We start from the raw sequence: 27,788 nt of genomic DNA on the forward strand, positions 1-27,788 counted from the left end.
CTTCCCATGTAGCACATTCCTGCTCTTCTAAGTCCATATTCTAGCCCCCTCCATGGTCTTGGATGTATATAAATCTATTCATATGGCTCTGTCTATAAAGTCTTTACCATTTTGAGCCAATAGAAGACAAGGACAAGAGAAGATAAGAGAGTCTCTTTTAGTAACAGGGTCCTGAACCCAAAGTCAGAAAGAGTAGACTGAATCTGTCAATAAGGAGTGTGTGTGCCTGGGAAGAACATTAATGTTGAATCTCTGTTGTCAAACGTGCACTACGAAGGGCACAGATGAGTGACTCTGAAGGCCCTTCCAGCTATAAATGCCGGTGTCAGTCCTCTTCCTGAAAGTACAAGGAAGCTGCTACAGGAAGAGGAACTGTCACTTGTTTTGCATCAGGGAGATAAAATTGCAGTTAGGGAGGTTTGGCAGCTTTGAGGAGGCCCAGCTGGAATGAGCATCTGTGGTAAAATTTTATAGGAATGTTGGGCATGACTGCACAGTTAAAAGGTCTTGCTTAGGCTTACACTTCCATCAGGGGGTATAGCTCAGGGGTAGAGCATTTGACTGCAGATCAAGAGGTCCCTGGTTCAAATCCAGGTGCCCCCTGCTGTGTTCTTATTTTTACCCTCTGGAGCTGGTGTTGAAGATTCAGCACCCTTCTCCAATCCTAAATCTCAGGATACTGAGCCTCCCTAAATCTGTGAAAAAGCCAGTAGCAACTTTAAACCCTGTCACTGTCTCAGACTGATAAATTCCTTCAACTTGGACTTTTTATTTCACTTACCAAAGGCTTTGTTCTACCTTGCCTGGTTTTGTTTCACTTTTTCTACACGTTTTCATGACCCCAAGTCAGTGAAGTGCAGGTAAATGTTTAACGACCAGCTCTGAAGGGGGTGATTTGTAGTGTTTTCCAGTTTCACAGAGTGAAAAATAATCCCACCATGGCAAATTTCAAGCTACAAATATGAGATGATGAACATGGAGTTGGGAAGGTGTGCTAACAAATGGCTGTCTGCTGCAAGCTAGCTCAAGCATAACACTGCCCCAATCCACCTTCCCGACAGAGGCCTGGGCTCTCTGGCCGTGCTCTATCTTCGCGATGCCTACTGACATGAGGGCAGTGGTTCTCACTCACCCATTCATCCATGGAATCATTCATTCATTCGTCATCTGATTCCTTCTCAATGCCAGACACAGGAAAGACAGAGATAAGCAAGAACTGTCTGTGGTAAGCAAAATAGTCCGATGAAGAAATGATCCAAACAACGACAAGGACAGCTGAACAAAAAAAAGAAGGGGCGCTATTTTTAAATGAAATGTTCTATTACCATTAACATTCTCAACTAGATAATCTAAAACGCCTCCTACCTCAAAACACCCAGAAATGAAAGACAAGATATAGTAAATATATATTCTTATATATAGCTGAGCTCTCATAACAGTAAAGGATATCTCCGGGGTGGCAGTTGGGGATGAACTAAGACCCTGAGAGGTAATATGAGCTGATCCTGGGAATGCCTGTGGTGGTTGTGGTGAGCTAGCCAAGGTGCTTCAGTTTTCACAGCCATTTGGGTACAGGAGATTTGGCCTAAGACCTGAGTCTCCCTTCTCTTGTACCAAGTCAAACTCTTAGAGAGCCATAATATTAGTAAAAGCATAGGAAAAAAAAAAAAAGCATCCACTAGCATAAGAACACAAGACATCTTTCTCTTCCTAGGGAGGCAGAGGGCATCACCCCTGAGAATCCATAACCATACATCTATCCTCACACTTGTTATGGCTTTGAATTTACACCACCTACATGGTTCAGAAATTCCTCAACCTGAAAGTTAACATACAAAGTACTCAGGCTAACAATGATTCTAGAGTATCCCCTGGTGGCTCACACCTGTAATCCCAGGACTTCGGGAGGCTGAGGTGGGTGGATCACCTGAGGTCAGAAGTTCAAGACTAGCCTGGTCAACATGGTGAAACCCCGTCTCTACTAAATATAGAAAAATTAGCCAGGTGTGGTGGCGGGCGCCTGTAATCCCAGCTACTCAGGAGGCTGAGGCAGGAGAATCGCTTGAACCCGGGAGGCGGAGGTTGCAGTGAGCCGAGATTGCGCCATTGTGCTCCAGCCCGGGCAACAAGAGTGAAACTTCGTCTCAAAAAAAAAAAAAGTACTCAGGCTGACAATGATTCTAGAGTATCCAAAAGAAGCAAACACAAACCATGAAGGACATACCCTCAAGCCAGGCTGCACAGGATTCCTACTGATAAAGCCTGGCTTAAGACGGCCTCACAATTCAAAGTAATAAAATATACAAGGAACCAGCCTATTATGAGTGAGAGCCACCAAACAAAATAAAGTCATAAAGTCAGGCCATAGAGTTACCAGATAGATACTATAAAGTAAGGATACTTAAAAATCTTTAAGACATGAGGAATTGAAAGCGTGGACACCTATGCTTTTTTTTTTTAAAGATAAAGCAGATACATCTAAAACGAAAAGTGCAGTCACTAAAATTGATCATTTAATTAACAGATTAAACACACATTAGACAAAACTAAAGAGAGATTTAGGAATGAAAGAATGTAAATCTTTTAAAAATCACTAAGAATGAAGCACAAAGGCCTAAAAAAATGAAAAATATCTAGCTAAAAGAGATGGTGCAGAATAAAGGGGTCCAACAAAGGTCAAATACAAATTCCACAAGAAGAAAGTGTAATGGGGAAGAGGCAATATTTATTTTATTATTATTTATTTATTTTTTGAGACAGAGTCTCGCTCTGTTGCCCAGGCTGGAGTGCAGTGGCGTGATCTCAGCTCACTGCAACCTCTGCTTCCTGGGTTCAAGCAACTCTCCTGCCTCAGCCTCCTGAGAAGCTGGGATTACAGGTGTGTGTCACCATGCCTGGCTAATTTTTTGTATTTCAGTAGAAGCAGGGTTTCACCATATTAGCCAGGCTGGTCTCAAACTCCTGACCTCAGATGATCTGCCCACTGTGGCCTCCCAAAGTGCTGGGATTACAGGCGGGAGACACCACACCTGGCCTAAATTTTTTTTTTTTTTAGACGGAGTCTCTGTTGCCCAGGCTGTCGTGCAGTGACACGATCTCAGCTCACTGCAAGCTCCGCCTCCTGGGTTCATGCCATTCTCCTGCCTCAGCCTCCTGAGTAGCTGGGACTACAGGCACCCACCACCACACCCAGCTAATTTTTAAAATTTTGTATTTTTAGTAGAGACGGGGTTTCACCATGTTGGCCAGGCTGGTCTCGAACTCCTCACCTCGTGATCCACTTGCCTCGGCCTCCCAAAGTGCTGGGATTCCAGGTATGAGCCACCATGCCCAGCTTGGGAAGAGGCAATATTAAAAGATATAATAGCTGAGAATTTTCCAGACTTGTACAAAGATGTGACACCTCAGATTTAGGACTCACGAGTTCCAAGAAAGATAAATAAAAGATCCATACCTAGCCACATTGCAGTGAAACTTCATGATACCACAGATAAAGAGATTTTTTTTTTTTTTTAGATGGAGTTTTGCTCTTGTTGCCCAGGCTAGAGTGCAATGGTACGATCTCTGCTCACTGCAACCTCTGCCTCCTGGATTCAAGTGATTCTCCTGCCTTAGCCTCCGAGTAGCTGGTATTACAAGCATGCACCACCATGCCTGGCTAATTTTTTTTGTATTTTTAGTAGAGTCGGGGTTTCTCCAGGTTGGTCAGGCTGGTCTCAAACTCCTGACCTCAGGTGATCCTCCCGCTTCAGCCTCCCAAAATGCTGGGATTACAGGTGTGAGCCACCATGCCCGGCCAAACAGATGATTTTAAATGAAGCCAGAGAAGTTAAATCATATGCAAAGGAATAATTAGACTGACAGCAGACTTTTCAATAGCAACAATGAAAGTCAGGAGACAATGGAATAAAATATTAGAAGTGTGAAACAGTTCTCTCCCTGGCTAAAGTATCATTCAGGAGTGAGAAAAATGTAAGACATTTTATATAACTGAAAGTATCCACTTCTAAAATATCCTTGCTGAAATAAATTTTAAAAGTTCTGCTTCAGGAAGAACATTGAACCCAGAAGGAAGAAGAAAGAGGCAAGAAAAAAGAGTGAACAAAGATAGTGGTAAGCACATTGGTAAATCTAAACAGCATAGATTGTATAAAACAAAAACAATGACTTCAAATATCAGGAGAGAGTCTTAAAAACAAGATGTAACTAAAAAGAACAATAATTACACACAAGACAGAAGGGGAAGAGTGTGATTAAACTCATATTCAAAAAGCTTTCTATCATTTGCGAGAAGATCAGAAGTAGTAATATTAGATTCTATTAAACCAAATATGTGTGTAAAATTACAGAGTAACCCCCAAATGAATAAAAAAGGAAAGCATAACTTTCAAATCAGTAGATTCATGATTATGATAGAGATTGTCAGACTGGATTCAGCAGCAACAACAAAATCTAGCTACATGCTCTTATATGACACACATCTGAAACATAAATATACACAAAGTTTGAAAGTAAAAGGACAGGAAAAGATATATCAAAGAAATACTTGCCAAAATAAAGTTAGTGTAGCTGCAGCAATATCAAACAAAATGGATTATAGACAAAGACTATTATTAGGGATAGTGTTACTTTCTAATAATAGAATGAACAATTCTCCAGGAAAATACTACAATTCTAAATTTGTAAGCACACAGCCTCCAAACACATGAAGCGAAAATTCTCACAAATTCAGGGAGAAATTGACAAATGCACAAACTTGATATGAGATTTTAACACCTCTTTAGTAACTGATAGTTCCAAATGCAAAAAGATGATAAACTATAGAAGGCATAAACCACATGATTGATAAGCTTGATTTTACAGCTCTAACTAGATCCTACACCAATATTAGAATATATGTACTCTTTTAGGCAAACATGGAACATTTTCAAACATCTATTGCACACTTGGCCACAAAGCAGTCTCAGAAAATTCTAAAAAATCAACATCACTTACTACATTCTCTGACTATAAGGCAAAACTCAAAAACAAAATAACTCATAAAAAGATTCGTATTTGGAAATTAAAAAGTACTTTTAAATAATCTCATGGATGGAAAAAGAAATAATAATGAAAATCAGAAAATATTTTAAAGTTGCAGCCATTTTCACATGGAGGACTGGCCAGCACAATTTGCCTTTAGATTCATTTGGGAAAAGTGCCGACTAGTTCACCAAAAGTCAATTCACAGAATGACCAGATAGCCAAAAGCCAAATATGGTAAAAGCTAAACCACTGAATATCAACTTGCTAAACAACCAATCTGAATTATTGAAATTTTTTTTTTTTTTTTTTGAGACAGGGTCTTGCTCTGTCACCCAGGCTGGAGTGCTGTGGTGTGATCTTGGCTCACTGCAACCCCCCTCTGCCTCCTGGGCTCAAGAGATTCTCCCACCTCAGCCTTCCAAGCAGCTGGGACTACAGGGGTACACCACTGCACCTGGCTAATTTTTGCATTTTTTGTAGAGATGGGGTTTCATCATGTTGCCTAGGCTGGTTTGGAACTCCCAGGCCCAAGCAATTCACCAGCCTTGGCCTCCCAAAGTGCTGGGATTACAGGTGTGAGCCACCGTGCCTGGCCCCAGCCAAGGAATTTTTAAAGATGTGTTTCAGCTCCACTCCTGCCTTTGTCTGTGTCCAGAGCCATCCAATAAACCTGGTTCAGGACAGGTCTTCACAACTATTTTTTAACGCACACACACGGGCTGAGGTAAATACAGGTCTACAGGGTCAAAGGCGCAACTAAAATTTGGGGGATAGGGGTGCCAGGAAGTGTCTCCATAATTTAAATAATTGGCCATGCAGCAAATTTCATGTTGGTGAACTGCTTTTAGCGACTGATGGTCCACAAATGGGGCAGGAAGCCTAGCCAGGAAGTGGACGTTTGAGTCAAAGAGGTGCCAAGAATCTGCACAGCTTAAAACAAAGGTGCATCTTACTTGGATAGAGATTTCTTTCTACAGGTGTTTAAGTTTAAGGCAGGGGTCCCCAGTCCCTGGGCTATGGACCAGTACCAGTCCTGGCCTGTTAGGAGCTGGGCAGTGCAGCAGGAGGTGAGCTGCGGGCAAGCCAGGGAAAGCTTTATCTGTAGTTACAGCCACTCCCCCTTGCTCGCATTACCCCTGAGCTCTGCCTCCTGTCAGATCTGCAGGTGCTGGATTCTCATAGGAGCCAGAACCCTGTTGTGAATGCGGGATCCAGGTTGCGGGCTCCTTAGGAGAATCTAATGCCTGGTGATCTGAGTTGGAACAGTTTCATCCCAAAACAACCCCCCTCCCAGTCCATGCAAAAATTCCCTTCCACAAAACCGGGCTCTGGCCCAAAAGGTTGGGGACCCCTGATTTAGGGGGTTTTAACGTTTAGGGATCCCGGGCCGGAGGGTGGGCGGTGGAGAGGAGCTGGGAGCAGGAACACATTACTGTAAGGAGCCCGCCTCACCTCGGCACGGAGGTGGGACCCGGCCTAAAGCCCAGGAGGCGACTTACCCTGAGGGCTGTGGCCTGTAGGGCTCTTGAAAAGTTGGACTTTTAAGTTTTCCCTTTCCGCGAGGTGGGGCCTTGTGATATCTTCAAATCCTTGTTCAGCAGGCTGCGCACACGCCGGTCCTGTGTCTAAGGTGTCTCGGGTATGACCGAGGGGGCTTTGCCCGAGTGGGCGTGCGCCTTTCCTCGGAGGCCGGGACGAGGGGTTGTCGGCATCGTACCCGAGTCCGTGATCATGGCCGGCGCGGCTGCAAGGGCCAGCCCCGGGCGACTGGGCGAGGAATTCCCTTTCCTTCCCTCCGATATTGCCCAGGCAGAGCGCTGTCTGGGCCGCAAGGTCTGGACGGGGCTTCCAAACTCAGAGCAGAGTCTCCTCTGCGTGGGACCACAGCCTCCCCTTCCCCTCCAAGCTTCTGTCTGGCACAGCAGGCTTAGCCCCGCAGGCCCCCTTCCAGCAGCCTTCTATAAAAATGACGGGGTCCTTCTCCAGACAGGAAAACCAGGCTCGCTGCGCCTCGCCCGCACCCCCGGAGCGCTCTCGCAGCGCCCGCCCAGACCAGGCCTTCGAACTCGTGAAGCGCAGGGGGAGGCAGAGGAGAGTGGGCCGCGCTTCCTTCCCGCATCACACGTTTATTTGAGGCCTACTATGTGCCAGGAACAACTGGGGTTACCACCCCAGCAAACAGGCACGCAAAATGTGACACGAAGGTAGGTCATGGCTGCGGCGAGCGGGGGCGCGGGCGAAAGACGTGAGGATGTACGGGGGCCTGGCAGCTGCTCTGTCCCACCCACGCCCGGCCGGACCCTCGACCCCTTTCACTCCAGGTCGGGTTTCCCCGACCGCGGCCTCTGGGAAAGATGGGTCCCTCTTCATCCCCACCATCAGCCCCTGGCACATGGGACGCGCTGAGTGGTGGCTGCGGGAATGAATGAGTGATAAGCGGCGCGTACCCGCGGGCTTGCACGCCCACAGCCGCCCCGGCTGGTCTCGGCGCGCAACCTCTACCCGCAGCTGGGGGCGGGGACGAGGGGAGGGGGCGGGGACGAGGCCCGAGCCAGGTCCGCCCCGCCCTGTCTCCGCCCCCCGCTTCCGAGCCGGCGCCGCGGCGCCTTCTGGGAAGTGTAGTCCGCGTCTGCGCCGGCCGGCCGGGCCGCCGAAGCCGGGGGCTCCGGGCGGAAACGGCACCACCCACCAAGGGATGCGAGGCGCTCGGGGCGGGCTCAACGAGGCCGGGGGCGGGCCCGGGCGCGCCCACCCCCGCCCCTCCCCCTCGGCCCAGGCCCCCGGCCCCGCCTTCTCCTGCGCGGACCTGGGCCGCCGCCGACGAGGGTCGCGTGCGCCCGCGCCAGGGCCCGCGCCGGAAACCGAGGAGTGGCGGGGAGGCTGAGCCCGGGGATGGCGCGCCAGGTAAGGCAGGCGGACGCGCGGACCCCTCGGCGCAGTGCGGCCCCGAAGGCGGTAGGGCGAGAAAGAGCTGGGACCCCCCCGCAACTTCGGGATCGGCTGGGTGAGGCTGGGCAGGCCTGATGCTCAGGGGTTCGTGCCGGGAAGTTCAGGTCCTCGGACAACCTCTCTCCAGCTCTCCGCCGCCGGTACCCACGGCCCAGTCTCCACCTGGGGAAACCCCCTTGGCGTGGCTTGTTTCGTTACAAGTTATCCTGGTAGAGTGGGCATGAAGGCCTCGGAGGCAGTGAGTAAATCTCATACTTCTGTTCTTGGTGGAATCCTGGATCCCGGGGGCTGGGGACGTGGAAATGGGGAGAAACAAAGATAGAACAAACCCCAAGTTTTGTCTTGGGAAGCCTGCAGGTAAGGCGTTTAGATCTGAGAACTGGAGGGAGAGCCCCAGGCCGTGACAGCCTGGGCACCGTTTGGGCTAGGTTGTGTGTGGGCTGTGACGATGCTGGGAAACTCTGGTGCTGATATCAGTGAGGTATCAGGTATCTGGTGCTGATACCAGCAACTGCTCCACGTTCTTCTGGATGGGCACCTGGAGCCAGTTCTGCAACCGTGGTGGCTCCTGAGCTTTGGCCAGTCCGAGGCAGCCATGGATGGGGGGCAGCGTGTGACTAGGCAGAGCAAACACTGTGCCAGGCCCTTGGCGTCATTAGTGCCCCCAAGCATTTGGGGAGAAGGGAGAGGCTAGGCAAATTGGATGTTGTTGGGCAGGGACAGTCAAGTGTCCTTTTCAGGTCTGGCTGCACAGTTAAGTAGCCTAGGGACACCCTGGTTCAGACATGCCCATGGCCCCATCCTAAGGCCTCCTCATACCACAGTTTCCTGTTCTGTAAAGTGAGGAGTTTGGGCCATTGACCTTTCAGATCTGATGAGGGGAATATCCTCACACTACGTAGCTTCATGGAGAAGGTGGCCAGGAGTGACCTTGGGGAGTGGTAGGTCACTGTAAGGTGGAGAGGAGCAGGGAGGGTTCCCAGAAGCCCAGGGCAATGTGAGCACAGCCTCCAGGTTGAGAGGTCCTGTGGCAGGGTCTGATCAGGGAGCCCGAGCCTGAGGCCCACTGGGAGAGCAGGTCTAGGTTGGGAAGGACTGTGAGAGAGGGGCAGGTCCAGCAGGCACTGAAGCTGCAGTTTTTGTGCTGGGCTAGTGACACGGTGGAAGGGTGATGTTAGGAGGACCAGTGTGCAGCTATGAGCTAGGAGGCTGCCCAGTTACAAGAGTCCTGGGTCAGCCCAGAAAGCTTTTCTCCATTGGTTGGGGGAAGGAGGTGAAGTGGGGCCCGAGGAGGAAGGCCGGTGGTGTGTGGGCAGAGCCAGCCAGTGGTGGCCTTCCTCCTCCCGAAGATGAGTTTTGTAGCCCAGGTGTTTGCACACTCACACTTGCTCACTCCCTCACACACAAAACCCTCACTCTTTGCTTTTTCTGGGGAGAGGGAGGCCACTGGCAGAAGCGCCTACCCTGGCCACAGTCAGTTCCCATTCTCATTTTCTAAGAATTTTATCACAAAACAGTTTGTCTTGAGGCTGAGATGGTGAGAGGCCTGGAAAGCATCTCTTACAGATTCCTGGAAGAGCTGGGATATATTTAGTCTGGAGCGAGAGAGACACCGGTGGTCAGGAGCAGTATGTGGAAGAGCTCAGCTGGCAGGCTCAGACCTGCAAGCGGGCATTAGGCAGACAGGTCTGGCTGCAGTATTACTAATCATAGCACTTAATATTCATAGTCCCCGCATTTGTTCTAGGCACTATTCCTGTATTTGTTTTGTCTTCACAATACCTCTATGAGGTAGGTTGTTATGATCCCAGTATTACAGATGAGTTCACTGAGGCCCAAATAGGTTAGGTTTGGCTGAGGTCTCATAACTAGTATGAAACAAGGCAGGGATTGGAATTCTGGCAGCCTGGCTCCTGAGGCTAGGCCCCAGTCACCGTGCTCTGCCCCGGTCTCTGGGTCCGGAACCTCTTAATGGCCACATCAGGTCAGCAGTGGTACCAGTGCAACCAACATAGCTGGTATCATGTTCTTACCTAGAGCTCAGACCTGCCTTGCCAGCTCTGTGTTGAGCCATCAGAATGTCATGTGGGAACCCTCTGCCTGCCATGAACCAAAATTCCAGACTCCCAGAAGGAAAGCAGGGGTGTGGCACACACCACGTCATTTGCTCAGCCTAGGCACCTTGAGCCACTCCCATCATTTAGGGAATGGTGGGAAGCCTCCTGACACCTAAATACCTGGAAGCCAGCCTGAGCCCTCCTGGCAAGCAGGCCTTCCTAAGGACAGCGGTCTAGGGCTGCTCTGCACGCTCTTCTGCATAGACCCTGATGTTGGCTACATTTTCTCTGTTCCAAGATGCTAGGAAGAAATGTAAATAACTCTTTGAGAGAAGTTTTGGAGGGTGTCTGAGACTGTTCCTGAGAGGGAGTGACCATACCTGGGCCAGAGCCACAGAGGTTTGCTCAGGGAGAGTCTGCACATCGAGGCAGGAGGCAAAGGCTGCAGCATCTCACTGCCCATCAGCCTCTGGGCCTCCGGGCCTCAGGCAGGCAGTCACGGGAGGGGCTGCCCCTTGCCAGGGGTGTAGATGCAGCCTGGCCAGAGGGGAGCACTGGTAAGTGTGACTGCATGGGACAAGTTATCAGCTGTTCAGGGAGAACAGGCAGAGAGCCCGGCAGTAAGTGGACAACAAGGCTGCCGGTTAGTGGCAGGGACAGTTTTTTGTTTTTCTTGAAACAGGGGCTGGAGTACAATGTTGTGACCTTGGCACACTGCAAATTCTGCCTTCCAGGTTCTCCTGCCTCAGCCTCCCAAGTAGCTGTGATTACAGACACCCACCACCATGCCTGGCTAATTTTTGTATTTTATTAGAGATGGGGTTTCACCATGTTGGCCAGGCTGGTCTTGAACTCCTGACCTCAGGTGATCCACCCACCTGGGCCTCCCAAAGTGCTGGGATTACAGGCGTGAACCATCACACCCAGCCTGGGACAGTTTTTAGAATCACTGACTTGGGTGGGTGCAGGGGCTCACGCCTGTAATCCTAGCACTTTGGGAGACCAATGTGGGAGAACCACTTGAGCCCAGGAGTTCAAGACTGGCCTGGGCAACATAGTAAGGTCCTGTCTTTTTTAATTAATTAATTAAAATAACTGCCCTGAGCAGATGAAACAAGCGGTGAATTGTCTTTGCTTTATTAGGGGCGTGTTCATTTTCTTTAATAATTTGTTCTCACAAATAAACAGTTTAACATTCATTTCTCAACAGGAAGGACCCTTCCCATAATTTACCTTCTGTTTGCTTAATTTGCACAGTTAATTTTTGCCATAATTTTAAATTCAAGCCTATTGATGCTGGTCATTTTCTAGTGTCTGATGGCCACTTTAAAGTCCACTGAAGGACTTTTTTTTTTTTTTTTTTTTTTTGAGATGGAGTCTCGCCATATTGCCCAGACTGGAGTGCAATGGCGTGATCTCGGCTCACTGCAACCTCTGCCTTCCGAGGTCAAGCAATTCTCCTGCCTCAGCCTCCTGAGTAGCTGAGATTACAGGCGCCCACCACCACACCTAATTTTTGCATTTTTAGTAGAGACAAGGTTTCACCATATTGGCCAGCCTGGTCTCGAACTCCTGATCTCAGGTGATCTGTCTGCCTTGGCCCCCCGAAGTGCTGGGATTACAGGCGTGAGCCACCACACCCAGCCGAAGGATTATTTTGTAAAGAAACATAGACAAAAATGCTCGTGTTATTTTAAAAAGCCACAGGGTAGGAGGAGATGAGTACAGAGAATAGGAGATAGGAGTACAGGGTGTAAAGGAGCCTGGTGACCCAAAGCTTCCAAGGGCAACCCCAGGTTTCTTCTGAGCACTTCTCTAAACCCAGCACACAAACTAGGTGGACAGCAAGAATGTCTTCTCTCACAGCCCTGCAGACCCGAAGCCCTACGTCACAGTGTGGGCAGGCCACACTCCCTCTGAAGGCTCTGGGCCAGGATCCTTCTTGCCTCTTGTGGCTTCTGGTGGCCCTGGGCATTCCTTGGCTTGTGGCTGCATGACTGTAGTCTCTGCCTGTCTTCACACAGCTTTCTTCTTTTGTGTCTGTCTCTGTGTCTCTTCTGATAAGGAATGAGTCATACTGGACTAAGGGTCCCCCCTACTTAGGAGTATGACCTCATCTTAAGTAATTCCATCTGCAGGGACTCTGTTTCTAAATAAGGTCCTACTTACAGGCGTGAGGGTTAGGACTTCAGCGTGTCTCTGCAGAGACACAGCTCACCCCCAGCACTGTCTCTTGAGGGGATTCCTGCATGTCAGACCCTGGCTATTATCCTGGAGTGTGCGCCTGGAGGCCTAGGTGGGGTTACCAAGTGCAGGGACAGCTAGGCTGTCCCCTCTGGGATGGAACAACCAACCCCCCCGGAGACTGTGCCTGCAGGTGTCCATCACCTTCAAGGACTTGGCCGTGCGGTTCTCGGAGGAGGAGTGGCGGCTCCTGGAGGAGGGGCAGAGGGAGTTCTACCGAGACGTGATGCGGGAGAACTACGAGACGCTGGTCTCTGTGGGTAAGGACGGGAGGGAGCAGCACGTGTGGCAGGAGCCTGGTGGGCGGTGGAAGGGAGGCCGGAGTCCCTGGACCCGGCAGCCTTAGTCTTTCCACCTGAGAAATGAACACGGGGATCGTTCACGCTGCTGCTATTCTATGTCCCGGGACCGGGTTCTAGGTACAATTCGGTGGGGGTATGCGGCGGCCTCTGAGGTTCCGACCACTCTGCGGTTCTTTGAGTTTAAGTGGTCACATGAATGTGCACAGACCTGCAGGGGCCTGGGCTGCTATGCAACTGTGTGCGAAGCGGAGACCACTCCATTCCCAGGGCCACAGTTCCCTCTTCTTTCCCAGGGACAGCTGAGCTGCTCCCCCTCTCTGCTTTCCTGTCACCCTCAGAGCCTGGAAGAGCTGTTGGGGGAGGGAGCCACGCTGATGAGGGGCAGGAGCCTGCTGGTTGTGGAGATCCCCAGGGTAAGTTATCTGTCAGACTTTGGGTGTCTCCTCCCACTCATCGGTCCTCAGCCCCAGGCAATGCGTGACCTCAGCCTACTCAGTCCAGCCTCTCACCTCCCTGCCTCCCCTACTGCAACCTCCCAAGCTTTCACCCCTCATCCCTCTGGGCTGGAAGCCTGTTATGCAGAGAAGCACTCAGAGAAAGCCTGGGGTCACCCTGGAGAGTACCTCCTGCCTCAGGCCCCCCACCCACCACCACCCTGAAGCCTTATCACAGCCACCCCTGCAGAACCTGCTCCAGCTCCCAAAAGTCCTGCCACGAGGCTTACATCCCAAGACCTCAGATGGTGGATGTGCTCCACCGGCCCAGACTGGGCAAGGCCAGGCATTTAGGGGGTGCCAGGAAAGGCAGAGGGCCCAGATGGTGGAAGAAGTGTAGCGGCAGCCCGCCTGGGCATTCCCCTGGGAGGCATGGAGATTAATGAGTAACGTAGAACAGAGGAGCCCTGTTACCCAGGCCCCGCCCCCATGCCCTGGCTGTCCCTTGGCCAGAGCGCCTGGCCTGAGCCCAGGTCCTCTATATCTCATGGGACATGGTGTCTCCTCTGGCTGCTCCTCATGTGGCTGGGAGGATTACGTGAGATGCTGGGTGTGAAAACACGCACGTAGGTGTGAGTGCTGAGCAGCCGCAGGGGTGCGGGGGGGTCACTGTGGCCTCTCTGCAGGGGGACAGCCCCGGCACAGCCTGCACCTCACAGCCCTGGTGCAGCTGGTGAAGGAGATCCCAGAGTTCTTGTTTGGAGAAGTCAAGGGCGCTATGGACAGCCCCGAGAGCGAGAGCCGGGGAGCCAGCCTGGATGGAGAGAGAGCGAGCCCCGAGGGTAAGTCAGACAGTGGGGCAGTGCACGCAGCCTCCTCTGCACTCCGCATGATGAAGCACAAGTCCACGGCACTGCACTGCATGTGGGCTTGCAGGCACAGGCCGGGAGGCAGAGTCACCTGCTGTTCCTCGTGGCTAGGCCGTGTGCCGCCCTCTGAGCACATGCCCATAGCTGGCGAGAGGGCAGCTCTGACTTTCGCATGGTGGTTTCTGTGTGGCTTTGTCACCCTCCACCCACCATGGCCCCATTCAGAGCCCAGTGATGACAACACATAGGTGGCTGACATCCTGGTCATTGTTAGTACATGGCAAGGAAAGGACCCAGAATGTGACAGTGTGACAATGTTAGGGGCATCTTACCAGTTGTTGATTCTCCCTCTTTCCCGACAGCAGCTGCGGCAAGAGAGCCCTGCCCTCTCCGAGGCCTGCTCAGCTGCCTTCCAGACGGCCCTACCAGCCAGCCCCACCTGGCCACCACGCCCACCGACAGCTCGTGTTCCAGTGGCCCAACTGGTGACGGGGTCCAGGGAAGTCCTCTCCCCATCAGTGAGTCTGACACAGCAGGGACAGGGAGAACCAGCATTTCAAAAGCCCTGATCGTGGCGTCAGAGGACCTGGACCCTGTGCCCTCTTCATTTTTTTCTAGGACTCAGTTCCCCTGTTGTGCTGTTCTTTTGTTAACAAAGTACGCCAGGGAGCAGGACAACATATTTAGCCTCTGGTGTAACCACCAAAGAGGAGGCATGATGCTCAGCCCCTGGGGAGCCTGTCATCCCGCCCCGATCACTGAGCACTTTGTACACAGAAAGTCTCCGGCAGTTTCTAACATGCAGGCCCACGGCCAGCAGCATTGACCTACCTGTGTGCACTGGTCTGATCCTTAGACCGTCTCATCACAGCAACCCTAACTGCAGAGCAGGGCAAGGGGAGCTCCTAGGATTTCTCTGGGGTCTCATTTTATTTTTAAAACTTCTCACAAATTTTGCATGTCTGTTTTTATAAAAAAGTACTTCAAATTTATATGGAATAAAATTGGCACTCCCAAAGAGCATACCCCATTTAGCTGTGGTTTCATCTGGTGTTCAGGGGTCGTCGGGCACACTTGCTCTGGGGTTCTGTGTGCCCTGTGTGTGCCCTGGTTTGAGAAGCGTGAGTGTGAGATTGTGGCCTACATGTCAAGGCTGCCGGCATCACTTCCTGAGCCAAATTCCGAGGCTGGGCTCAGGGGGAAGGGTCTGGGAGTGTTCACAGTGAACCAACAGTCTTGCTGTTTCCAGTTAAACCAGAAAGAAACGGTAAAGGCCCTCAGCCCACCTCGAACAGGGACTTGGGTGGCTGGAGAGGGCTGTCCTCTATGGGAACCAGATCTGGTGTGATTTTCCAGAGTCTGGAGCTGGGGCTAGAAAGGCCCTCTTGTCTTCTCCTGCAACAGAAACTGCCGACAAACCGTGGCCTACAAGGAAGGAAGGCCCAGGAGCCCTGGGCGGGGAGCCCAGCCCTCCCACCCATAGCCCCAGCAGGAGGAAGAGCCACAGAGGACAGGAGAGAGGGACCTCAGAGGCCGGTGAGAGGCGGGCTTTCCTTAGTGGGGTAGCGATGGGGAAGTGTGTTTAGTTCACACGAGGAGGTCATGCTGCTCCGCCGCCTGGGCCTGGTGGCAGCTCCACCGGGCAGGCCTTGTCTGCATTCTCACGGGTGGGAATCTCAGCCGCCCGGAGACCTGAATGCCTGCCAGCGCTCCCGGTGTCCCGTCAGGACTGCACTGACCCAGGCCCACCTTGCATGTGCCACAGGAATTTCTCCTGGGAACAGCCCCTTGCAAGGCCTCATCAACTGTCTGAAGGAAATCCTTGTGCCTGGGCCCCGGCACCCCGAGACATCCCCAAGCTTCTTGCCACCTCTCCCTAGCCTGGGCACGTCCAGGCTAACCAGAGCAGACCTGGGGCCTGGGAGCCCGCCCTGGGCAGGTGAGTTCTGGGGCCTCAGGCTGAGGTCTCTGAAGCTTGGTTTGCATTTCAACAGCGATTCCTCCTGCTCCAAACTGTCTCCCTTAGGGATCGTTACCAGCTTGGTCGCTGCTGTGTTGCCAGTGTCACCTTTCTGGAGCCAGGTGGCTCTCTTAAGGGCAGCGTTTGGTCAGCTGGGAAAAGGAAACTCGGAAGCAGGCTTTGCCCTGGTTTCTTCATGTCTCTTCCTCCTCCTGACTTGGGACCCGAGGGGAAGAGCTGCAGAGCTCATGTGTTGCTTTGCATTGACGCCAGGCATGATGCATGGGGTGGGCTTGGGCTCTGGACAGCATGGTGGAGGGGCCGGGGCACAGGTCTTGGAGTCAGACCCGGAGAGGCTCCTGATGCCTTGAGCCTAGGCTGTTCCCACTCACAGGGCCGCAGTGAGCTTAGCTGCAGTAATGTACTTACTGTACAACTCCATTTTCCTCAAATGTAAGTTCTGTTCAGGACCCCAGAGCTGTCTCAAACAGTGACCCTGACAGCCCACTTCCTTCAATTTGTCCTCAGAGTGATGCCACTTGTCTGCCTGCAGGGCGAATTCCATGGCTTCCCTCTTTGCCCTGTCCGGTTCTGGCAGGTGTGTGGACCCAGGCACTGGGAAGACTCAGCGAGCCACTGGAAGAGCCTCATCTTCAGAGTTGGCCCCACGCCCTTCTAACTTGTCCCCTGTTTGTTGTTTGTCATGAAGGCTGAGGACACTGAGCTCCAGGTGAAAACATGTTCCTTTTTCCTTAGTGAAGACCGAGGCGGTTTCAGGGGATTGTCCCCTCCAGGGTCTGCTACACTGTCTGAAGGAGCTCCCCGAGGCCCAGGACAGGCATCCCAGTCCCTCAGGAGTGGGGAACCGACGGCTACAGGAGAATCCAGGAGCCTGGAAAAGGGGTTCTGGAGGTAAAGGCTTCTCGCTGGGCTGGGAGGGCCCCCAGACATCCTACATTACCCTGCCCCAGGCAGGGCTGTAGGTGGCCCCCACCACAAACACTCAGGCCCCCATATTGGCCTGTCGGGAAGAGGATCCGGATGCGGGGGATCCCCACTGTGTAAGTGGAGCGAGCTGTGTGGGAGGGGCTCGGTCAGCGCTTGATAATTCTCAGGCTGGCTCTTAGAGGAGGAGCTGGACATTCTGAAAGGAAAGTGGGGAGGGAGCGAGATCAAGAAATAGAGGATGGAGCTCTAGCCCAGCACACACGCAGCTCCTCATTGTGGCTTGGGGTCCTGTGTGTTTGGGTCAGGTTTCTGCCATGTGTGTGAGAGCTGGGAACCCCAAATCCTAATTATACCCACCCAGCCCACACAGGGGTTCGTGTTCCGTGCATGTCACCTCAGCTTGTTAGCTTCTCAGAACAAAGCCCTGAGCAGCTGGGTTGAGTCAGGTGTGCTGGCCATGGAGAAAGACATGATTGGTGCTGTCTGGGGAGGGCTGACTTCATGCCTGGTAGAAACCTTGGAGGCACCCCAAGGGGCCATGGTAGGGGAGGAGGCGTGTGACTCAGGTCTCTGCTGGTGATTGACAAGTGACAGCAGTCTGAGCCGGTGACTGCCGTGGAGGCACAGGGGCTTTGGAAGCCCCTCCTAACCCTATAAAGGCCTCAAGGGATTCTCAGGGTGAGTCCAGGCCTGAACCTTGGGCTTCCCAATGGCCTCCTCCCGCAGGGCCTGGATACCTCCTGACCCCTCCTCCCCATCCTGATCTTGGAGCTGGCGGTCTGCTCTCTGTGAAGATGGAGAACAGCTGGGTCCAGAGCCCCCCAGGACCTGCATCCTGTCAGCCTGGCAGGCAGCCCCTCAGTCCCTCAGCCACTGGAGACACCAGAGGGGTCCCCCAACCCAGCTGGGGCCCTGAGGCTCAAGGTGAGGCCTGAGATTGGCTGCTCTGGTGGTCTTCCCCATGGGCTTGTCAGTCCCTGGCAAGGTTCCACTAACCCCAGGGAAGCAGCTCTCAGCAGGGAGCCGCCCCCTGGCCTTTCTTCCCAAGCAGTGAATCCCTTCATCCACAGCCTCCTCAGCCCAGGCCTTTGTCCAAGCCCCCGCTGCCTCGGGGCCTTCGTTTTGCAGTGATTCCTGGCCCTGAAAGCTACCCCTGCTGACATGTGGCCCTCCTCACTCCCCTCCTGTCTTCATGCCTTCCAGGGAGCAGGGTGGGGGGCGAGAGCCGATCAGTCTCCCACAGAAGGGTTTCCTGCCTGGCAGGTGCCAGAGCCTGGTACAGGACTCGTCACCCCTGTAGAAAGCACGTCGGGTAGAGCCAGCCAGGGGTCTGATGGGCAAGGCTGGAATGTGTGGGAGATGGTAACAGGGTGCTCTCTCCTGTTCCAGCTGCCAGTGCCTCAAGCTCACCGCTGGAAGCCCTGGAAGCCTGTCTGAAGGGCATTCCCCCAAATGGGTCGTCACCTTCCCAGCTGCCACCCACTTCTTGTTCCCAGAACCCCCAGCCAGGAGACTCTAGGTCTCAGAAGCCTGAACTGCAACCCCACAGATCACACAGTGAAGGTAGATTGTGGCCATGGGCGCGGGGTGGCATGTCCCTGAGCGTGGCAGCGGAGGCAGATGCTGAGGACTGTCGGGTCATTGTGTTCCCCGGCCTCCTGAGACACAGGCCCGTTCCCCCAGGCTGCCTTTCATACTCACTCCCAAACAGCCGCCCGCATGTGCTGAAAGCCAGTGCAGATCTTCCTGCCCTACTTCCTTCTCTCAGAACTCTCTCCAGTCACGAGACTCACTGTGGGGTTTCTGTGGGTCACGTGCTATGGGAGTTGAATCAGTGCCACAGGGAAACCCTAGTGGGAGATACTTTGGGGCAGGGTCTTCTGGTGCCCGTGCACCCCATGGCCCAGGAGTCTCTTCTCCAGTGAGCCTCCTGGTGACCACAACTGTGCTGTTCCCTACAGAAGCGACCAGAGAGCCTGTTCTGCCTCTGGGTCTGCAGAGCTGTGTGAGAGATGGCCCCAGCAGGCCCCTGGCCCCCCGAGGAACCCCCACCAGCTTCTCCTCATCCAGCAGCACCGACTGGGACCTGGATTTTGGGAGTCCTGTGGGGAACCAGGGGCAGCATCCTGGAAAAGGTGAGCTGGGCCAGCCCGAGGCTGGGGTTCATCCTGGGAGAGGACTCAAGGCCCCTTGCCCAGTCCCTCTGGCTTGACTGGGTCAGACCCCCATGCCCGTGCTGGGAGCAGAGCCAGGGATACTGAGGCAGGAGCAGATGCGGGACTTATCTTGGGTGGGTTGTGGGAGCCTAGGGTGGAGAGGGGGCTCCGTTTTAGTGACTTGTCTTAGAAGGGACAGGACAATGTCTAAGATTTCTTTTAAAATCTTTTTGGGCTGGGCACAGTGGCTCACGCCTGTACTCCCAGCACTTTGGGAGGCTGAGGCAGGAAGATCAGTTGAGGCCAGGAGTTTGAGACCAGCCTGGGCAACATAGTAAGACTCCGTCTATACAGAATTTTTTTTTTTTTTTTTTGAGACGAGTCTAACTCCTGTTGCCTAGGCTGGAGTGCAGTGGCACAATCTCGGCTCACTGCAACCTCCACCTCCTGGGTTCAAGCGATTCTCCTGCCACAGTCTCCCGAGTAGCTGGGGTTATAGGTGTCCGCCACCGTGCCCAGCTAATCTTTGTGTTTTTAGTAGAGAAGAAGTTTCGCCATGTTGGCCAGGCTGGTCTCGAACTCCTGACCACAGGCAATCTGCCCGCCTCAGCCTCCCAAAGTGCTGGGATTATGGGGATGAGCCACCGCGCCCAGCCTGTACAGAAGATTTAAAAAATTATCTGGGTGGAGTAGCACCTGTAGTCTGTAGTCCAGCTACTCAGGAGGCTGAGGCAGGGGATCACTTGAGCCCCAGCGTTTGAGGCTGCAGTGAGCTATGTTCACACCACTGCACTCCAGCATGGGTGACAGAGTGAGACCCCCATCTCAAAAATAAATACATAAAAATTTCCTTTTTGCATTGAATTCCTTACCCCAGCCACAAAGAATTGCCTGTAATATCAAACTGACCCCCAACTTAGGAAAACATACAGTGAGGTTCATGTCAGAAACATTTCAGCGTGTGCTTGGTGACCTGTGCCTCCCCGGCTCACTCCAGTCGAGTTGCTCCTGCAGACTTGGGGATCTTGCAGGACTCCAGCATCCCCTCTTGGCCTTTTTATTTCCCCCACCTGGTTAATCCGAGTCCTCTTGGTCTGTGTTGTCCTGCCGACACCACTCCCTCCGTGCTCACCTGTGTCCTGACTGCCAATGTATTTACTGAACAGGCCTCTCACAGCAGCCACAGCTCTGGCCAGGCCTGTGGGGCCTGTAGAACAGGCCTGGGGCCTGCCAGTGTCCACAGCAGCCTGAATTCCCAAGCCCCACTATGGGTTAGCCGCTTGGGTGTGGGGCTTTTCCCCTATAGTGCAACTGACTTCATAGGTAATATGATCACATAGCTTTGTTCAAAAGCTATAAAAGGTTATGTAGGGAAAATGAAGCCTTCGGCACTCCAGCCCCTCCTGCCACTGCTGTGAGTTCACTCCCCTCCTCCTCCTCACACAGAGGGCAGCATCTATACATGCCCCCTCCAGGCTGCCTTTGTCGTCAGCATTTGTCTTTGACCCCTTTCTATACTTTTCATGTTCCTTGGCCACTAGCACCAGTTTCTTCTTTTGGACAGCAGCGTGGTATTCGGTAGCATGCTTCATGTGTTCTGCCTGGGCAGACTTTGTTTACTAAGTAACCCAAACTGCAGGATATTTCACACTGCCTGTCAGAAGCTTCCAGCCAACTCCCGGCTCCCTCTGTTGCCCCAGAACTCAGCGAACGTGCTGTGGAGAAAATGCATGTGGGGGTCCTCTGGTTTCCAGCCCTTCCTGGTCTGGAAGGGCTGGTCTCTGCCCTTCCAGCCTGTGGACATTCAGAAGTTCTGAGGTTGCCCTCCCGCCCTGTGCCTGGGCCCAGAGTCGTCAGCAAATGCTGTCGGGAAAGAGAGTGGCAGCACTGTCTGCTTTATTAGGAAGGGCTCTCCTCACTCTAGAGTTTCAGTCCATCTAGTTCCTGTTACTCGCACAGCTGTCACTGGAAATAGGATGTTTGCAGTGTGTTTAGTTCTTTCCTAGTTGAAATTGCATGCATGTTGGCCCGCCATGGCCCAGAGGCCAGGGGGCCTGTGTTGTTGCCCTGCTGTGAGTGGTGAAGGAAGTCTTAGCACATTCCATCTGTGGGACCATCCCCTGTGCTGGGGACACAGGATGTGTCATCCCTCACGGTGGTGGCAGCTGGGTGTGCTGAGGAGGACTAGAGCCCACACCTGTGGCCAACGCCCTCATGACAGCCGCAGGCCAGGCTTCTATGTGGGTGGCCAGGACAGGCCAGGCTTCTTCCACGGCAGCCAAAGCAGGGCCGCGCCAGAGCCAGGACTGACACGTCCAGTGCTCTGTGCCCAGCACCCCTGTGACCCCCCTTCCCTGGACACAGCAGAAGACAGGGGGCTTCTGCAGTTTGCAGAGATTGAGCTACAGTCCCCCTCATCTGTGAATGTTTGATCTTCACAGGAAGCCCACCAGGAAGCTCCCCACTGCAGGGTCTGGAGAATTGTCTCAAGGAGATACCTGTGCCTGTGCTGCGGCCTGCCTGGCCCTGCTCCTCAGCAGCAGACAGGGGACCGAGGAGAGCAGAGCCCAGGAACTGGACAGCAGACAAGGAAGGTAATAGTGGCTGCCGGGGCCCTGGGTGTAGACAGGGCTGCTCTGAGGATGCCCTAGGCGCTGCACCTGTGGGCTCAGATCTGCTCCTGAGCCAACATGGTGCTCTGGAAACAGACCTGGGCAGAGCCTTGTTGGAGGCCAGAAAGCCAGATAGTCTGCAGCACACACGTGTAGACCTGCTGGCACCTTAGTGCCACTGTCTGCGGTTCCACCATCCCAGCTGGAGCTGGCTCCTTGTGGCTGGGTGTCCTTGTCCCGGCCGTGCCAGCCCCACGAGCCTTGGTGTCTGGGCACCAGTCTCCAAGCCCAGGGGTCCACGCAGCTGGGTCTGGGAATAGAGATGTTCTGGAGGGTTCAGGCGCTCCCTGGAACATGACAGATGGGTGTTTCCCACACCTGATGCTGGTGTGCCTGAGAGCCCAGCAATGGCAGAAACTGTTCCCTGTCCCTTCTTCTGTGGCAGCACGAGGCCCCGTGGGGCTGACAGGCCTTCTGATTTCTCATTAAAACAGGACTGAGGGCTGAGGCCTGCGAGTCAGCCCGTCTCGGGCAGGGTAGGGGAGAAGCGCCCACCCGGAGCCTCCATCTGGTCAGCCCACAGGTGTTCACCTCCAGCTGCGTCCCCGCCTGCCACCAGCGGGGGTTCAAAGACCCTGGGGCCACCAGGCCAGGAGTGTGGAGGTGGCTCCCAGAGGGTGAGCTGGCACCTGCCCTCGGTACTGACAGCCCCACTTCAGTTAAAGTGTTTGACAAGGAAATAGACTTCCCTCTCTGTCCCTCTGTTTCTTCCCCATCTCTCATCCTTTCCCCAGAGGACAGAAGCTGGTGCCAAACAGAAACTGAGGTTCGCTAAACAAGAAGATAAAGTGTCACAAAGTGCTGACAAGGAGCGGGGTCGGGAAGATCATTGTTTGTGTCCATCCATTGGGTTTCTCCAGTGGAGAAGCTTCTTGAGGGGGCTCCCGCCGTCCACTGCTGCTGCTTGGTTTAACTTCCAGCAGAATTCCTTCCTAGATCTGCTGCAGGGCCTGCTGGGATGCCTTTGCTGAATAAATGCGGTTTTGCTGACCCTCCCATCAGACGAGGATGGGCCCTAACTGAGCCCCACCCTTGGGCTGCTGGCCCCTGTGAGATACTGGGGTGCAGGGATGGCACCTGCCTGGTGGGAGAAGCCGCCTGGCCTGTGAGACCTAGGCCTGGCTAGAACCTGACTGCTAATGGCTTCCAAGGACTGGAGACTTCCAGAAAGTTCCCCAGCAGACTTTCCAAAGCTGCTGGGGTCCTGGCCAGGCTCTGGCTTCACTTTTGTCCTCTTTCTCTGGCAAGAGAGGCAGCCATTTAGGGTCCACTAGAACGCATGCTGATCGTGGGCTGAGCTGAAAAGGGGACCGGTTCTGTGTGCCCAGACACTAAGGCAGAGACCTGGCTCTCTTCAGGCTGATGACAGAGCACTCTCTGGTCCCCTGCCCAGGGTCTGCCCCCAAGCCCTCCCCGCTGCACTGCCTGGAGAGCGCCCTGAGGGGGATCTTGCCTGTAAGGCCCTTGCGCTTCGCCTGCGTGGGAGGCCCCAGCCCCAGCCCCAGCCCCGGCTCCAGCTCGAGCTTCAGCGGCTCTGAAGGAGAAGACCCGAGGCCAGAGCCTGATCTCTGGAAGCCGCTCCCCCAGGGTGAGCCTGTGCGGAGAGGGAGGATAGCGGGATGTGTGCCAGGGCGCCAGTCACCACTCTGATGCCAGCTTTGTTTGTGACGTTAGAGAGGGACCGCCTTCCCAGCTGTAAGCCTCCTGTCCCTCTGTCCCCATGTCCTGGTGGGACCCCTGCTGGCAGCAGTGGCGGCAGCCCTGGTGAAGACCCCAGGAGAACAGAGCCCAGGTACTGCAGCGGCCTCGGTGCAGGTGAGCCTGGGGTCTCCTGAGGGGGCGCCCATGCGTTCCCCAGAGGACCAGGAGTCCAGACTGGATCCTTTGAGTCCTGCCTGTCGCTTTGCCTGGCTCTTGCCAGGGAGTCCTGCACATTGGCCGTGCTTTAGTTCCCTGTAAGGTGAGCTGTGTCCGAGAAGGAGGGCGGGGCTGCTGGGGGTGCTGGTGAGCAGCTGCAGGGAGGTCTGAGCCACTCACTTGATGCCACGTACACGGTGTTTGCGCTTGCTAATATACACGTGTGCATGTAGACAGATGTGGATGTATTTATACAATAATAGCGTATGCTTTTAAAACTTGGCAATCAATAACAAAAGTCTCAAAAGTGAGATTTCCCCAGCTGGGGGTACTTCTTGGAGAGTGTCCCATTAGGAAAGCTAGAATGCTGCCTATTGCCCCAGGCCACCTTGCTTCTCAATCTCACTGTGACCCACTGTTTGCTCCTAGCAGAAAAAGCAGATGGGACAGGAGACAGGTCCCAGTTGCCTGGGAGAAAAGAGAGTTTAGAGAGTACCTGCTGTCCTGGCCCCCTCAGGAGTGCTGGAGGACGAGGACGAGGAGGGAGAAGCAGTGGTAGAAGGAGGGAGAAGCAGGGGAGAAGGAGGAAGAGGCCAGAAATGGTCAGGGGAGGGAGCTCTCCCCAACTCCTGCAGCTGGCTCCATTTACAGGCATTGGCCCTGGTCTGTGTAGACCCAGGCTGCACCACATTCTTCACTCCGCAGTGGGCCTAGTGGAAAATGGCAGAGTGGGCTGGGTGTGGACCACAGGATGCCCCAGCACGCCCTTGGAAGTCTCACTGGGGCAGGACCCGCAGATGAGAGTCCTTTTTCCCAGCTGCCTCCCCAGCCGCCTCCTCCTGCCGGAGCCCCCTGCATACAGGGCAGGAACACCACACACACACGCACCGCGGCGGGCCCTGCCACCAGAATTAGGCTCCCTCATGGGCCAAGTTTCCGTCTTCTATCTCATTTAATCATTGTTTAAAAGTTGAGAGTTTGATATTGTTTTAGGGTATGTCAGAATGGCTCTGGCCAAACGATCGTCTCCCTGCCCCAAGGTCTCTGTGCTCTTTCTATAGGTACAGCTCAGGATCCCTGCCCGGTTTCTCAGCTGGAGAAAAGGCCCAGGGTTAGTGAAGCATCCAGAGGCCTGGAGCTTGGACATGGAAGACCCAGAGTTGCAGGTGAACTGGTGGCTTCCCCCATTCCCTCTGCACGGGCCAGGACCCAGAGCCCCAGCTTGGGGAAAACAGCCTTCCAGGGTCAGTGTTTGAGTGATGGGTAGGAAGTCTCACCTGTAATGCACTTCAGGTTGCATATTTCCTTTCAGTGTTTTATCACAGAAGCAGTTGGGATTTTCATAAAAGCAGACACACCTTTTAGAGGTGGAAATTGAGAAGTGAAGGATCAAAGTTTGGGGCTTGAGGGGACTTTAGAGAATAGGTGAGGAAACTGAGGCTAGGATGACCTGGCCATGGTCACTGTGAGAGGGTTGGCTCCATGTCACACACGTGCCCCTACGGACTCATGGTGGAGACATGCAGGGGGCCTGGCACCTAGTGCCCTGGGTCACTTGGGGACAGCCCCACACCAGGAACTTTGAGTGTGGCCTGCGGCAGGTTCTCTTACTGGCTCAGGGTGTTGGCTTCTGTCCAGGCGCCACCACTTTGCTGTGAGCTCTGAGCTGCCTGGGGCCACCGAGCCTTGCCTGTCCTCTGTAGAAGTCCTAGCTGGGGTCTCCAGGCCGAGATCCTTATTGATGAACTTGACCAAACAGCGGTTGGGTCCTTTAGCTACTCCAGTCTTCACTTTTTCCTCGGTTTAAAGCCCTGGAGGTGCCGAAAAGAGCAGGGCAGAGCCACAGCTGGGGGCCCAGAGAAACAGGGAAGAAACCATCTCTGCGCCCGGCCTGGGGCTGAACAGGTTAGGAATGGCAGGTGCCTGGCCAAGCCTTTCCTGTGGTTTGCCCAGGGTTGGGACCAATTCCAAGGGAATTTAGGGCGAAGGATTAGGTGATCTTTTTTTAAAAAAAACAAAAAGCTTATGACTCCTATGAATCTGTAACTTCTCAATAGGGAGAGTAAAAGCAGAAGGGGGTGGGAACCCTTGTGGTTTGCCTGTAACGAAGAGCACTGAGTTCTGGAGTGGCCCCAGGGTCACCCCACAAAAAATGCGCAGAAGGCCCTTGGCTTGCCTGGCCCTCCTGGCCCATCTCCTGGTGCTCCCACGGCCTTGGCCTCATGCTGTCTCGGGGGCTCTGGACCCTTCTCACTGACTCCTAGGGCAGGGTGCCATTTGGTCTCATCAACAACACAAAGACCCACCGATTCCTAGAAGGTGGGAAGACCGCAGTTTAGGAAAGCCTGGTTACCACGGAAACCCAACCTGTGGTTGATCCTGCCCATCAGTTTGGGGAACAGCCAGGAGACATAGCCAGTTTTCATGCCATAAGCATTGGCATCTGCGTTCTCAGGCCTCACCCACCTTCCTTCCTTTCTGGAAGCTGGGCCTTGGAGGAGGCAGAGTACTGAGCGCCCTTGGTTCATGGGACCTCTGGGGAGAGAAAGGTCCTTACAAACCAGGAACTCTGACCGGTCCTTGCTCTGGTTTTAGCCAAGACCCATGAGAGGCTGCTCCCCCAGGGCCCGCCTGAGCTGCCCAGTGAGTCTCCCCCTCCGGAGCTGCCCCCTCCGGAAGCTGCGCCTCCTGTGTTGCCAGCCTCCTCCCTGCAGCCGCCATGCCACTGTGGGAAGCCCCTGCAGCAGGAGCTGCACAGCCTCGGTGCTGCCCTTGCGGAGAAGCTGGATCGGCTCGCCACAGCGCTGGCAGGCCTGGCTCAGGAAGTGGCCACCATGAGGACCCAGGTGAATCGGCTGGGGAGGCGCCCCCAAGGCCCTGGGCCAATGGGCCAAGCTTCCTGGATGTGGACCCTCCCACGGGGACCTCGCTGGGCTCATGGCCCTGGTCACAGACATCTGCCCTACTGGAGGCAGAAGGGACCCACGAGGCCTAAACCAAAGATCCTGCGTGGCCAGGGAGAGAGCTGCAGGGCTGGTGACCTGCAAGGACTCTCCAGAGGGACCGCTCGCCGGGCACGTCCGCTGCCTCCAGACGCTCCCCCGGCAGAACCTCCTGGGCTCCACTGCAGCTCTTCCCAGCAGCTGCTGTCCTCTACACCCAGCTGCCATGCTGCGCCGCCTGCACACCCCCTCCTCGCACATACCGGGGGCCACCAGAGCCCCCTTCCCCCTTTAGTGCCTGCTGCCTTACCCCTGCAGGGAGCCTCTCCTCCTGCAGCCAGTGCAGATGCAGACGTGCCGACCTCAGGAGTGGCACCAGACGGGATCCCAGAGCGGCCCAAGGAGCCGAGCAGCCTGCTGGGAGGAGTGCAGAGGGCCCTCCAGGAAGAACTGTGGGGTGGGGAGCACAGGGACCCGAGATGGGGGGCGCATTGATGGCATTCCTCTTCTCCACATCTGCTCGTTCTTGCCGAGGGTGCAGTGGTGGCGTGGAAGCCCTGTCACCCCACCCCAGGCCACCCTCTCCCAGAGGACGCCATCTCCCTTACTGTTGCTGGGAGCCTCGCCCTTTGTCCCAACTGGGTAGAGCCCCCAGGTGCTGTTTGCTCAGGAGGCTGCTGTGGGGGTGCCTTCCTCAGCCTCTGGCCCTCTTGGCTCAGATTCAATCAAATGTTGCTTCCCTCTCCTGTCTTTCCCACTGGAGCCGCCCAAGCTTGTAGGTGGGTGGTGTGCATAGGCCACGTGTGCCCCACATATGCAGGGGGTGCCCCACACAGCTAGAGCGGCCAGGAGAGCGCCTCCTAACCACCAGCCGTTCCTGATCTCAGGAGCCTTGAAGGGCTGGGCTCTTGCCTTCCTGGAGTAAATATTGGCACAGATTTCATTTGAGAGAACTCAGCCCCCTGGTCTAAGCTGGACTTACCTCTGTGGATTCTGAAATTAAAGAAGTGAGTTGCTAAGGAAGGCCCTGACTCCTATAGAAGGGAGGTCCATGTGGGCCCACGCTGGGGCGGGGCTGGTTGTGCCACCAGCACGCTGCCTCGTCTCCCAGACATCCTCGAGAACATTCAGGAGTGTGCCAGGAAGGGTGGGGCAATTCCCACAGGACTCCTGGGGCACACTCTGAGTCCCCTGGGGCTGCCTCACAGAGGAACCCTGCCTGGGCAGCTTCAACAGCAGCACATATTGTCTCTGTCCTGGAGGCCAGAAGTCTACAATCCAGGTGTCAGGTTCAGTTCCTGCTTTGGGCTGGGAGGGAGGATCGGTCCCGGACCTCTCCCCTTGACCTGTAGATGGCTGTCTTCCTGTTCAGA

The 27,788-nt window shown here is 54.3% G+C and overlaps 1 protein-coding gene and 1 non-coding gene across 37 annotated transcripts, besides 5 other annotated features; both read left to right on the forward strand.

The window, feature by feature from the left end:
• Positions 1 to 531: 531 nt before the first annotated feature.
• TRC-GCA9-4 (tRNA-Cys (anticodon GCA) 9-4) lies at positions 532 to 603 on the forward strand. The gene has a single exon. It is a non-coding gene; the product is annotated as a tRNA-Cys (tRNA).
• Positions 6,341 to 6,635: a silencer, noted in NCBI's record as "tiled region #9729; HepG2 Repressive non-DNase unmatched - State 23:Low". NCBI's record gives its function as "represses a minimal TATA promoter and a strong SV40 promoter by Sharpr-MPRA in HepG2 cells {active_cell/tissue: HepG2}" and the evidence as "EXISTENCE:reporter gene assay evidence [ECO:0000049][PMID:27701403]".
• Positions 6,967 to 7,466: an enhancer, noted in NCBI's record as "H3K4me1 hESC enhancer chr7:149411195-149411694 (GRCh37/hg19 assembly coordinates)". NCBI's record gives its function as "activates a minimal SCP1, AML or CMV promoter by ChIP-STARR-seq in primed H9 embryonic stem cells {active_cell/tissue: H9 hESC(primed)}" and the evidence as "EXISTENCE:reporter gene assay evidence [ECO:0000049][PMID:30033119]".
• Positions 7,462 to 7,901: a silencer, noted in NCBI's record as "silent region_18764". NCBI's record gives its function as "represses an Ori minimal core promoter by ATAC-STARR-seq in GM12878 lymphoblastoid cells {active_cell/tissue: GM12878}" and the evidence as "EXISTENCE:reporter gene assay evidence [ECO:0000049][PMID:35858748]".
• Positions 7,814 to 27,438, forward strand: KRABD3 (KRAB domain containing 3). Of its 36 annotated transcripts, none has more exons than NM_001394483.1 (18): positions 7,814 to 7,929; positions 8,102 to 8,212; positions 12,396 to 12,535; positions 12,871 to 12,990; positions 13,698 to 13,853; positions 14,246 to 14,398; positions 15,285 to 15,416; positions 15,646 to 15,819; positions 16,597 to 16,752; positions 17,515 to 17,712; positions 18,178 to 18,351; positions 18,750 to 18,923; positions 21,386 to 21,538; positions 22,051 to 22,233; positions 23,010 to 23,204; positions 23,291 to 23,431; positions 24,535 to 24,639; positions 26,069 to 27,438. In NM_001394483.1, exons 3-18 carry the CDS (start codon positions 12,502 to 12,504, stop codon positions 26,908 to 26,910), a joined length of 3,090 nt encoding a protein of 1,029 aa, NP_001381412.1. In that variant the 5' UTR covers positions 7,814 to 7,929; positions 8,102 to 8,212; positions 12,396 to 12,501; the 3' UTR covers positions 26,911 to 27,438. The 36 variants fall into 36 exon arrangements, 30 of the variants coding, with proteins under 30 accessions (NP_001381412.1, NP_001381420.1, NP_115923.2 ...); NM_001394491.1 differs by having other exon boundaries at positions 12,409 to 12,535; positions 12,916 to 12,990; XR_007060163.1 differs by having other exon boundaries at positions 7,814 to 8,212; positions 12,409 to 12,535; positions 14,243 to 14,398; positions 23,291 to 23,408.
• Positions 8,104 to 8,736: an enhancer, noted in NCBI's record as "H3K4me1 hESC enhancer chr7:149412332-149412964 (GRCh37/hg19 assembly coordinates)". NCBI's record gives its function as "activates a minimal SCP1, AML or CMV promoter by ChIP-STARR-seq in primed H9 embryonic stem cells {active_cell/tissue: H9 hESC(primed)}" and the evidence as "EXISTENCE:reporter gene assay evidence [ECO:0000049][PMID:30033119]".
• Positions 13,122 to 14,016: an enhancer, noted in NCBI's record as "H3K4me1 hESC enhancer chr7:149417350-149418244 (GRCh37/hg19 assembly coordinates)". NCBI's record gives its function as "activates a minimal SCP1, AML or CMV promoter by ChIP-STARR-seq in naive H9 embryonic stem cells {active_cell/tissue: H9 hESC(naive)}" and the evidence as "EXISTENCE:reporter gene assay evidence [ECO:0000049][PMID:30033119]".

The sequence above is a fragment of the Homo sapiens genome, chromosome 7 (genome assembly GCF_000001405.40).
Source record: "Homo sapiens chromosome 7, GRCh38.p14 Primary Assembly".
Classification (NCBI taxonomy): domain Eukaryota; kingdom Metazoa; phylum Chordata; class Mammalia; order Primates; family Hominidae; genus Homo; species Homo sapiens.